General features: G+C 36.5%; 1 protein-coding gene across 2 annotated transcripts in view, besides 2 other annotated features; it reads left to right on the top strand.

Annotated features, from left to right (window-relative positions):
- Positions 1323-2522: an enhancer, noted in NCBI's record as "MED14-independent group 3 enhancer chr4:139162849-139164048 (GRCh37/hg19 assembly coordinates)". NCBI's record gives its function as "activates an origin of replication core promoter dependent on BRD2, BRD4, P300/CBP and CDK7 cofactors, and independent of MED14, by STARR-seq in HCT116 cells {active_cell/tissue: HCT116}" and the evidence as "EXISTENCE:reporter gene assay evidence [ECO:0000049][PMID:35650434]".
- Positions 1614-1853: an enhancer, noted in NCBI's record as "active region_21911". NCBI's record gives its function as "activates an Ori minimal core promoter by ATAC-STARR-seq in GM12878 lymphoblastoid cells {active_cell/tissue: GM12878}" and the evidence as "EXISTENCE:reporter gene assay evidence [ECO:0000049][PMID:35858748]".
- Positions 1868-11634, top strand: part of SLC7A11 (solute carrier family 7 member 11) — a 78253-nt gene continuing 68486 nt past the window's right edge. For both annotated transcript variants that reach the window (NM_014331.4, XM_011531802.4), the window contains exons 1-2: positions 1868-2424; positions 7766-7892. In NM_014331.4, the coding sequence (NP_055146.1) occupies positions 2148-2424; positions 7766-7892 (404 nt within the window). In that variant the 5' untranslated portion in view covers positions 1868-2147. The remainder of the gene's footprint in view (positions 2425-7765; positions 7893-11634) is intronic.

Genomic DNA, 11634 nt, shown 5'->3' with positions numbered 1-11634 from the left:
ATCGTCCTTTATAATTCATTCAGTTTCCTATCTGAGTGGGGTCTTTGGCTCAACTTATGAGTTCAGTTATTTATAACAAAATTTAAAATTAAAGTGTGACACTGTGTTAATTAGAGAAAGTTGCTGTTCCCTGAGATTCCTAGTGTCCTACTTTTACCTCATATTTCTTCAGAGCTAATATGTTTCTCTTACTGGGAAAGAAGAGCTGCTCCTTAGGTCCATTAATCAGGAAAATTGTGTGAGTGAAAGGAGATGTAGGAGGAGGAAGAGAATTGGAAAGAAAAGAATCTCTATTTAGCTTCCTTCTTTGGGAGTTTTAGCAGGATTGCATGAGGAAAATGATCCATTTTTGTTTTTTGAAAGACATTAACAACTGAGAAAAAGTATTTATTTTGGTTTTATAAAAACTTTAACTTGGTGTAGCTGAAACCAATTATATAGAATTTAGATAGATAATTTAAAAAGGAGAAAATGTAGCCTCAATTATTTGGATGGCAAAGCATTGAGGTGGTGTCATTTTCTCAGGTGTCAACATAACAGAAAATGGTTCTGACCTTTTCCATGCTACTTTCCTAATGGCGATTTCTCATTTCTTTCTTTGATCATCCTCACCATACTTGACTCCCTTCTTTCCCTGCCAACCTCTCGCACACAGGCTTTTTGTTTGTGGTTTTTGTTCAAAGGTTCAGAAGCTTATTTAATGGTGCGTATAAAGGTAGCTTCAGGGTAATGATAACATTCAATTCTTCTCACTGAATCCAAAACCACATGTAACTATAGCCAAAAATGATATCTAGGATTTCTTTTCTTTTCATATTTGTTTTTTCTTGACACTTGGTTGAGAAAGTTAGAAGGGTTTAAAAATGTTTTGCCTTTTTGACTATTGCAAAGTAAATATTTTAATTTAGCTTACATTTTTAATGCATTTTAAATTTATAATAATAACAATAGTTTATATAATGTGGAAAAAAGTCATACATAATATCATTACTTTCTATAACTACCATTCTGTTTTCCTTTACAGGCTTTTGCTATATACATATTTTTATGTAATTGTAATTGTGTAATTTTGAACTTAGAAATTTTTTTTGGTAATTCAAAGGAACAACATGACAATGAAGGATATGTATCTTTTACATAGTTCAAAAAAATCACCTAGTGCTAATGAGAATCAGAAAATGACTATTTTCTGGAGTCATGGTGAATTTTGTATTAGTCACACTCGGATGGTGATTTAAAATACTGGTTTATTATGAGTAGTAAGAAATAATTTTATCTTTTAATGTTGAGGAAGGCTTATAGTTGTGTGTATGTGACAGAAGTATAAAGTGTAGAATCTTTAATTTTGTAAATATTGGATTTGACTGTATTGCCTTATAAAAAACTCAAAATAAAAAAATAAAAAGCATTACACAAATTATGAAATTCAAACTGTGTTGTTATAAACAATGTAGCTTTAGGATACATTCTACTCACAAAACAGTCGCATGTAAAATGTTTTTATACACGCATTAAAGAAAAAGAAACTCCTTAAAATGAAGTAACTATTTCCTGTTTCATTTTGTTTGAACAGCTTTTGTTGCTCACTACGAGTTGCTTTAAATCTCTGGGAAGGTCTGTTCCGAATTTACTACTTCTGGATTGGCTAAAATCTCTTTAAAGTGTGTGCTTTGTTCTCTAAAAAGCTTAGGTCAGTTGAGCAACAAGCTCCTCCTGTTTTTTTCTTTTTTTAAAAAAAAGAGCTGAGTAATGCTGGAGGCTTCTCATGTGGCTGATGCAAACCTGGAGAATTTGCATCATCATTTAGCTGTAGTAAGTTGGTGTGACAGGCAGGCGCTTAAATACAAGCCCATGAGGAAGCTGAGCTGGTTTGTAATGATAGGGCGGCAGCAGCAGCAGCAGCAGCAGTGGTGGAACGAGGAGGTGGAGAATTGAGAGCACGATGCATACACAGGTGTTTCTGAGTAGTAATTAGATCGCTGTGAAGGAAAAAGCACACCTTTGAGTTTTCACCTGTGAACACTATAGCGCTGAGAGAGACAGTCTGAAAGCAGAGGAAGACATCGATCAGTAACACCAAGAGACACCAAAGTTGAAAGTTTTGTTTTCTTTCCCTCTGTTTTATTTTTCCCCCGTGTGTCCCTACTATGGTCAGAAAGCCTGTTGTGTCCACCATCTCCAAAGGAGGTTACCTGCAGGGAAATGTTAACGGGAGGCTGCCTTCCCTGGGCAACAAGGAGCCACCTGGGCAGGAGAAAGTGCAGCTGAAGAGGAAAGTCACTTTACTGAGGGGAGTCTCCATTATCATTGGCACCATCATTGGAGCAGGAATCTTCATCTCTCCTAAGGGCGTGCTCCAGAACACGGGCAGCGTGGGCATGTCTCTGACCATCTGGACGGTGTGTGGGGTCCTGTCACTATTTGGTGAGTGCGACTTTTTCTCTCGTGGGGGCGTGGCTGTGGGGCTGGAAAGCTTGCTTTCTGGGAAAGCAAATGGTAGTTTTTGAGGAGTGAATGGATGGCAAAGGCCACACCAAATTTTTAAAATTTTTGTTCGGGTACGTGAACTACCCAGATGCAGCATCCGCTGTTGGTGTGATCTGGAACACCCTCAAATTGCTTCCTACAGGCTGTACTTTCTTTTCCTGACTAAGACAGGCTATCTTCTGACTTTTCTCTGTGGTGATGAGAGCAAAGGCTAACTTTCATGACCCAGTAAAAAACATGCACACTTTCTGTGCCGGGCAGTTGTACACTTAGCTTGGGCATTCTGGCAGCTGGCATGCTGAATGAGACACCTGTGAAGTGGAACCTGGCATGGGCTATTTAGACATAGAACGGAGTGTTCAGCAGAAGTCTTACTGACTTTTTATTAGCCAAACAAATGGGTGGCAGTCTTTATAAAAATATTTTTTAAGTTCATGTGCTTGTCACCTCTTAATATCCTTTCAAAAGTCCTTGACATGGGAGAGATGTATGATGGCGCATAACTCAATCCCTATCATAATGGGGTATATTGCAATGGCCTGAGCATATTTCAAATTACTTTTCAACCTTTCATCTCTTCTCAATACCCATACACTTTTGCAATATAAGTTTTAAAACTTCAGTTGGGCGTTAGTTTTCTGTACTTGCCCAGATCTGTTTTTTTCATTATATTTCACTTGTTCTCCAGGGACACAGAGAATTTGTCCACCTGTTCACTAAATTAATCTGAAGGGAACTGGCAGAAGTATAATTATGAATTTTTCTTCAAAGTTTATGTCTCTTCTATTGATCTGAGAATTAATAGTAAAGAGGTAAATAAATGCCCCCTTATGGAGTAGGCAAATTACTAGAGAGCTACCTGAGTTTGTTGTAAAGATGATAAAAACTGGTGAACTGTCAAACATTAAATTTGATTTATGCTATGAGGATTTATTTACTCTTCTTGGGAAAGATTCTGTACTTTAAAGTTGCTCTTTGTCTTAACTCTGGGACTAACACTAACTAACAAGTACTAACGCTAACTCTAGGACTAATTAACAAGTACTAACTCCTGTTCCCATGTGTACCAATCAATTCATTCTTTCTACTCAGGCCTTGTGATGTTTTAAATCATTGGTTTGACACTCATCTAGAGAACTCAAATTCCATTTTTTTTTTTTTTTTGAGACAGAGACTCGCTCTTTGCCCAGGCTGGAGTGCAGTGGTGTGATCTCGGCTCACTGCAACCTCCGCCTCCCAAGTTCAAGCAATTCTCCTGCCTAAGCCTCCCGAGTAGCTGGGACTACAGGTGTGTGCCACCACGTTGGGCTTATTTTTCGTATTTTTTAGTAGAGATGGGGTTTCACCATGTTAGCCAGGATGGTCTCGATCTCCTGACCTCGTGATCCACCCACCTCAGTCTCCCAAAGTGCTGGGATTACAGATATGAGCCACCGCGCCCGGTCCTCAAATTCCATTTTTAGGAAGAAGTTATTTTAAATAGAACTTGTTAAAACAAGTAGTATAGAAAGATTTATAGAGGAATTATTTGGGGTTTTTAGAGAGAGTTTGTGGTATTATTTATAACTAACTTGTGCTTTATTAAATATTCAGTAACAATTGTGTATCATTATTTCCCAGTATTACTTCCCATCTTTATAAAATAATTTGGAGTAATATCATTATGAAAAACTCTAATAGTACCCTTAGCCACTATTAATATTAAAATAGCTCTGGTATATGCACTTATAGAAAAAGAGAAACCTAATTGTTGATCATCTTAAATGATTTTGTGCACCCTCAGCCTTTAAATCTTCCTACAGCACTTTATATATTCAGAATAAATCAATATCTAATCAGAAAAACCACAACCAGTTTACTGGACTTTGCGTACTTATGTGCATGCAGCTTCCACTATGTGATTCAATTTTTGCACATAATAAAAGATTATTCAGATGTAATAAAATAGATCAGTATGAGTATTGAACTAGTTAAAGTGTGTTGACTTGCACTATGAAAATATGCTTATGCATAAGTATTACATATCATCTGAAGCAAAAGCTCAAAAAAAAATAAAAAGAGAGAAACAGCTAAGGAGACTAGCTAACATTACACTTGAGTTGGTATTCTTTGATTAGTAATTGCAGGGAGTGTGCTCTTGTATTAATCTACTTATCTTTATTTGCATTGCATTTGTCACTTAAGTTACCAGAAGCTTTTGGACAGGAGTGCCTCTGTAACAGCAAGCAAAGCAAAATCTGAAGAAAAAATAATCCTTCTTTTTAAAAAGACTCTAGAACTTTGGGACCAACTGTAAAGAATCTGTACATTTGGTTTAATACATATATATACTTTTTTTTTAAGTGAAGGGTCAATACATGGATTTTTACATCTTGTTTTGAACTTTTTTCATCTGGGCAAAATGGTTATGAAGCTTGAGACCTTTAAATGAAAATCATTCCCCCAGAACTCAGTTTAAACCTAGGGCAACCATCCTGGAGTTTCAGTAAAGCATATAGAGGTCTAGGTATTGATTCTCTGACAATAAATTCTGAGGTACTTAAGACTCTTCCCAATAACATTTTATATTGGATCCTTTTCTGGACAGCCTACCAACATGGCGAATGTTTCCCCATGGAGAGTGAGTTGCAACTAGTTAAAATTAGTTATAGGTAGATGAAATACATCAGTGTTCCCCAAATATTAGTCTGCAGACTCGTTACTTTAGAATTATTTGTACAAATTTTAAAATGATAGAGATTCTTGAATTTCTCTTGTGGACAATCTATACTCTCTTGATTAGAGTCTGTTTTTGGTTTGAGTGTTTTCGAATTAAAAATTATTCCCAGACTGAGCATGGTGGCTCATGCCTATAATCTCAGCACATTGGGAGGCTGAGGCAGACAGACCCCTTGAGCCCAGGAGTTCCAGACCAGCCTGGGCAACATGGCAAAACCCTGCCTCTACAAAAAATACACAAAAATTTAGCTGGGCATGGTGGTGTGTACCTGTGGTCCCAGCTACTTGGGAGGCTGACGTGGAAGGATCACTTGAGCTCAGGAGGCAGAGGCTGCAGTGAGGCAAGATTGTGCCACTGCACTCCAGCCTAGGTGCCAGAGTGATACCCTATCTCAAAAATTAAAAAAAAAAAAAAATTATTCCTAGGTGACTTTGATGTCATGATAAGTTTAGAAATCAGATATAAAATATGTAACACTAAGATTTCACTGAATATCCAAATTATATTTATATTGAGCAGTTCTGTCTAAATTATTACTAATCAGTAGTACTTTTCTACACTTTTATTCTCAGAAGTAGATTGGAAAAAAATTGTGTTCTTACATTTGAGCACTTGGCAGTACAGATAGAACTTTTCACATAATGACAGGATTTTTTTAAATTTTCTTGTTAATTACTCAAATTAATAAGTATAGCTATATTTCATGTGGTGCTTGCCATGTGTCAGGCCATGTACTGTACTAGGTACCCGCTGCCACATTTATACACACAACTCCTTTATGAGGTAGAAGCTGAGATCTCCATTTCACAGAGAGTGAAACTGAGGTTTTGGGGAGTTGCATATTTGTCCAATTTTATGTGAATTGTATCGTTAAATGTTAAAAATTTAGCTTATAGTTAATTTGATCTAAAGTACACAAATATAAATTATAGCACCTCATTTTAAAAAGTATATTCTGGGCCGGGCGCAGTGGCTCACGCCTGTAATCCCAACACTTTGGGAGGCCAAGGCAAGCAGATCACCTGAGGTCGGGAGTTTGAGACCAGCCCGACCAAAATTGAGAAACCCTGTCTCTACTAAAAATACAAAAAATTAGCCAGGCGTGCTGGCAGGCACCTCTAATCCCAACTACTTGAGAGGCTGAGGCAGGAGAATCACTTGAACCCTGGAGACAGAGGTTGCAGTGAGCAGAGATCGTGCCACTGCACTGCAGCCTGGGGGGACAGAGTGAGACTCCATCTCAAAAAAAAAAAAAAAAAAAAAAAAAAAAAAATATATATATATATATATATATATATATATATATATATTCTGGCTAGGCGCAGTGGCTCACACTTGTAATCCCAGCACTTTGGGAGGCCGAGGTGGATGGATCTTCTGAGGTCTGGAGTTCAAGACCAGCTTGGCCAACATGGTGAAACCCTGTCTCTACTAAAAATATGAAAATTAGCCAGATGTGGTGGCAGCCACCTGTAATCCCAGCTATTCGGGACCCTGAGGCAGGAGAATTGCTTGAACCTAGGAGGCAGAGGTTGCAATGAGCTGACAGCGCCATTGCACTCCAGCCTGGGTGACCAAAAATTCCATCTCAAAAAAACAAAAAACAAACAAAAAAAAACACCCAGAGAGTACACTTCAAAAAACATCCAAGATAGCCTTTTATAGAAACAGAGTCAGAATTCATTTTGTTGACAAAATATATCCTACAAATTAAATGAAATCTTGGCCGTGCACAGTGGCTCACACCTGTAATCCCAGAACTTTGGGAGACCAAGGCGGGCAGATCATGAGGTCAGGAGATTGAGACCATCCTGGCTAACACCATGAAACCCCGTCTCTACTAAAAATACAAAAAAAATTAGCCAGGCGTGGTGGCGGGCGCCTGTAGTCCCAGCTTCTCGGGAGGCTGAGGCAGGAGAATGGTGTGAACCCAGGAGGCAGAGCTTGCAGTGAGCCGAGATCGCGCCACTGCACTCCAGCTTGGGCGACAGAGTGAGACTCCGTCTCAAAAAAAAAAAAAAAAAAAAGAAATCTTGCAAGTCAGAGAGTCCATGGTTTTCTAAAGAGTGGATACAGCTTGTTCATTTTGATTTTCCACAGAAACATAATTTATTAAAAGGGTTCTCAAAAAATAACTCAAAAAACTTAAAAGCTAACTCAAACATTTGGACTAATGCCTTGTCTTGGTGTGAGGTTGTGTTCTTCTAAAAATAGGTCAATATTATTGACATCTCTCTCCTCTTTTTCCCCTATTTCCAGGTTTTCAGCTCAAAATTCTGGAACACATGATATTGTTGCAGACATGTATCTTTGTCATTTCAAGTAAAATTATAGTGTTCAAATAGAATACACTAAATCTCAACTGTGAGGATGTTAGAAAAGGAACTTGGCGGGTCTTAGCAATTAGATGATGGTTATTTGTCTTGAGTAAGGATGCCATTCAGACCAAAGGAGGCAGTTACATCTCAGGCAACATATAAACATTATTGTATCTATTCTAATGCTGGGTGTCTTGAAAATGTATTAAATTGGTACCATTTTGTGACAAATATTTCACAGGAGCTTTGTCTTATGCTGAATTGGGAACAACTATAAAGAAATCTGGAGGTCATTACACATATATTTTGGAAGTCTTTGGTCCATTACCAGCTTTTGTACGAGTCTGGGTGGAACTCCTCATAATACGGTAAGAGCATAGTAGAAAGAATTAAGAAAAAATAAACCAATTCATTCTTATGAATCACCTTGATTATTTTTAACTGGTTAGACACATGCATGTCATGTGACTACATGATAAACATGTCTACCTCAGGATATAAAGCCTGTGATAAAGTACCTTTCTGAATTAAGATATTTTTAATGCAATTTTATCACTGACAAGCAGTTCACCAGCAATGCCAAACTTTTAGAAATATCTACCTTTCTTTGACCCTCAGCTATTCTCTTTGACACTTCCAGGAGAAAGATGCTTACTTGAAAGAATATGAACATGAAAATTCACCTGGATACCTTTTGACCAACTAGACCAAATTAAATATTGAAGTTTTCTCTTATTGTAGATTATATCATTAAGGCATTTAACTTTACTTAGTCATTGTGACCAAGACACTTCTGTGCCTCACAACTTAGTTGGTCACCAAGTCTTATACTTCATAAAAAACAGAGTTTGCATGACAGAGTCAAATGACTCATTTCCTTATATTAAACAGATTAGGAACTACAGTTCCAAAAGTCTTTTTTGATTTTATTGTTGTAACAATGTGTTTACATTCCTGCTTGTCTTGGTTTAAAATCACACTGAATAGTGCTAAGTCACTCTGAATAGCAAATTTCCTTCGACTTTGTGGGAAGCTTATGATGTCATATGAGCATTTCAGAGTATCACAGTTCCTTAAGGCTAACTACTTTGATAAAATGTGATGTGCACAGTCTGATTACAGAATTTAATGGATATTACTAGGGAAACTTGCTCTTATCAAACTTATCAAACATATGTGATTGAGAGTTCATGTGAGCTTTTATGGCTAAGTGCCAAATACAGTGCTAGTAAGTATTGACAACACTAATCATGAGTTTTACAGTGTTAGAAGTCTTTTTTTTTTTAACCAAAAAAAGATCTTCAAAGTAGTATATGCTTCATGAAGGCTTTTTCATTTTAAACACTCTGCATTATTTAAAATTGTTATAATGAAATAATAATAAGTATTTTTTTCCTTTCCTGAAATTCCTCTATCAGGAATGCACTTCTATTCCTTTTGGTTATCTCAATCTTATCTGCTCTTCAAAGGTCATCTTAAATCCTTTCTTTCCCACAATTAATTTCCTGTTTATTCTAATTTATGTTATTTCTTTCATCTCTAAATTCTTCTGAAAATTCTATCTCTGCTTCACATTTGGCATTGAGCATGATACCTTCTATTCTTCCTTAATATTTTAGGTGTCTATATTTTGTTTCCCTTTTAAAACTGCCAACATTTCAAGCATACAAAGATAAGATCTTTTTGTAACCCATATACTACTTAGGTCAGTGCCCTTTTTTTGGCATATATTAAATTATTTTTGAATAAGTAATTGAAAGTTTAAAGTTACAATATATTGTGTACAACATACTCAGCATTCAAATGCATGTACTACTTATTGACTGCTGGCCTGTCAGGCTGGCGGGCTTTGGAGCTTAATACAGTTGGACTTGACTCCGTCTTCAGCCATGTATTAGTTGTGTAACTTTGGCTCATTGCTTAGCATTATGATGAACATGATCATTCCATATAAATATAGCTTATATCTTACAGTAGCACAGATAAAATATTCATATATTAATTTATTTATTCCACAAACTGCTACTGAATGGTAAATGGCAATAAAAAGAGATCTAAAATGAAATCAGCCACAATTTCTGCTCCCAGGTAGCGGATAATCAAATGTTACTTTAATTTAAAAAAAAAAACTACTTTTCTCTGTGTGTGTGTGTCTGTTGACAGAGGAAAGTACCTTTGTATTCTAGAAGCTTTTAAAATATGTTCATATATCTCTTTGTCATAACATACTCATATTGCTGAGTTGGCCTTTTAAATAGGCAGAATAACAAATGACATGAGGAGGGACAAAATATCTAAGTATGTAAATATTTCTCTTCTTTTACTAATACCCATAGTTCCTAAGTACTTCCCATTAAAATTATACCTTTAGATTAAGTTAGTATTGCCAGAAATAATCTGTAAAACACAGATTTCAAGGACAGAAATATTATCTATCTGTACACAGCAGGGGTCATTAAACCGAATTTGCGTGTGCACTATATATTCAATATATATTGGGTTTCCACTATATGATAGACACTGTTCTAAACACTGGAGGTAAAACTGTGATTAAGATAGATATGATTTTGTACCCTTAGAGCTCAGAGTCAAGTGGGAGGAAATCATTATCAATCGAGAAATCACATAGGTAAATATAAAATTGCTATTGTGATAAGCACTGTGGAAGACAGGCCAAGGGCTTCAGTATGAATATACTCCAAGAGATCTGGCCCAGTCATAGGTTGGAGAAGTTTTCCCCTGGGAAAGGAAAATTGAACTAAGATCTGAAGTATAAAACATAGTCAATTAGTTGCAGAGGCTGCAGGCAGAGAAGATTCATATCCTTCTAGTGGGAAGAAGCTAACTGAAGAAGTAGGGAGAGCTTAGACCAGATGGAGCCTTGAATGCAATGTGAAGGCTTTTTGCATATCCTGAACATATTTTGAAAGCACTAAAATGACATAATCAGATTTTAAATTATACATAAAAAATTGTATAAATGATGGAGAATAGGATAAACAGTTTTGTTTGGGGAAGATGGGAGGGTGTCTAGGAAAAGAAGAAAATGAAAAACCTTATGCCGCTCTCCAGTATCAGCCGGCCAAAGTTGGGAACATGTAATGCTGGTTGGTTTTCTGATAATCTATGGATCGGGCATGAATGTTGGGTAACCACGAGAAGAAAGAGAAGCTAAAAAGGAAGTTTGGCATAAGAAATTAGATAATTGCTGCCGGGCACGGTGGCTCACGCCTGTAATCCCAGCAGTTTGGGAGGCCGAGGCAGGTGGATCATCAGGTCAGAAGTTCGAGACCAGCCTGACCAATATGGTGAGACCCTGTCTCTATTAAAAATACAAAAAATTAGCCAGGCATGGTGGCATGCACCTGTAATCCCAGCTACTCAGGAGGCTGAGGCAGGAGAATTGCTTGAACACGGGAGGCGGAGGTTGCAGTGAGCTGAGATCGTGCCACTACACTCCAGCCTGGGGGACAGAGTGAGACTCCATTTCAAAAAAAAAAAAAAGAAATTAGATAATTGCACAGACTTGCATGTTTATGGAAAAAATATGCATTCATATATACATACATCTAAAATGAAAAGGTCTGTGCAATTTTCTCATAAAAATATTTGAAGAATTAAAATAGAAAGATGTATTACCTATATTTCTATATACCTGAATTTATTTCATATTCTTGTCTCATTTATATTTTCTTAATTGTATCAGATTATAATAAATCTATTATTTTTAAATTTATATTTTATATCTGAATGTTACTATAGGATTAAGAATAATCACTTGACTTTGAGTTTTTGTCTGTACAGAAAAAATAAAACAATGTCAAATATTTAGGCATGTATTTGCAGGGAACACTTAATACTAATTTTTTAGGTTGAGTGTTGTGTTCATTCTTTTGACTATGCCCTGACACATTAGATCTGTATGGCATTAATTAATTCATAATATGGCTGAAGTTTACTTACTGACTTTTTGAGAAAGAAGATGGCTTCCTGTAAGCCTAGCTCTGTCAAGATCTCATGTAATAAACCAGATTTTTAAGGAAAAGTCAAATATGGGAGAGCAGGGGAAAAGTTGATAGTACTTACCCTTGTTCCCAAGAATATGTGAAG

This window comes from Homo sapiens, chromosome 4 (assembly GCF_000001405.40).
Source record: "Homo sapiens chromosome 4, GRCh38.p14 Primary Assembly".
NCBI lineage: Eukaryota > Metazoa > Chordata > Mammalia > Primates > Hominidae > Homo > Homo sapiens.
Note: the sequence above shows the minus strand (reverse complement) of the source record. Positions and strands in the feature narration are given on the sequence as shown.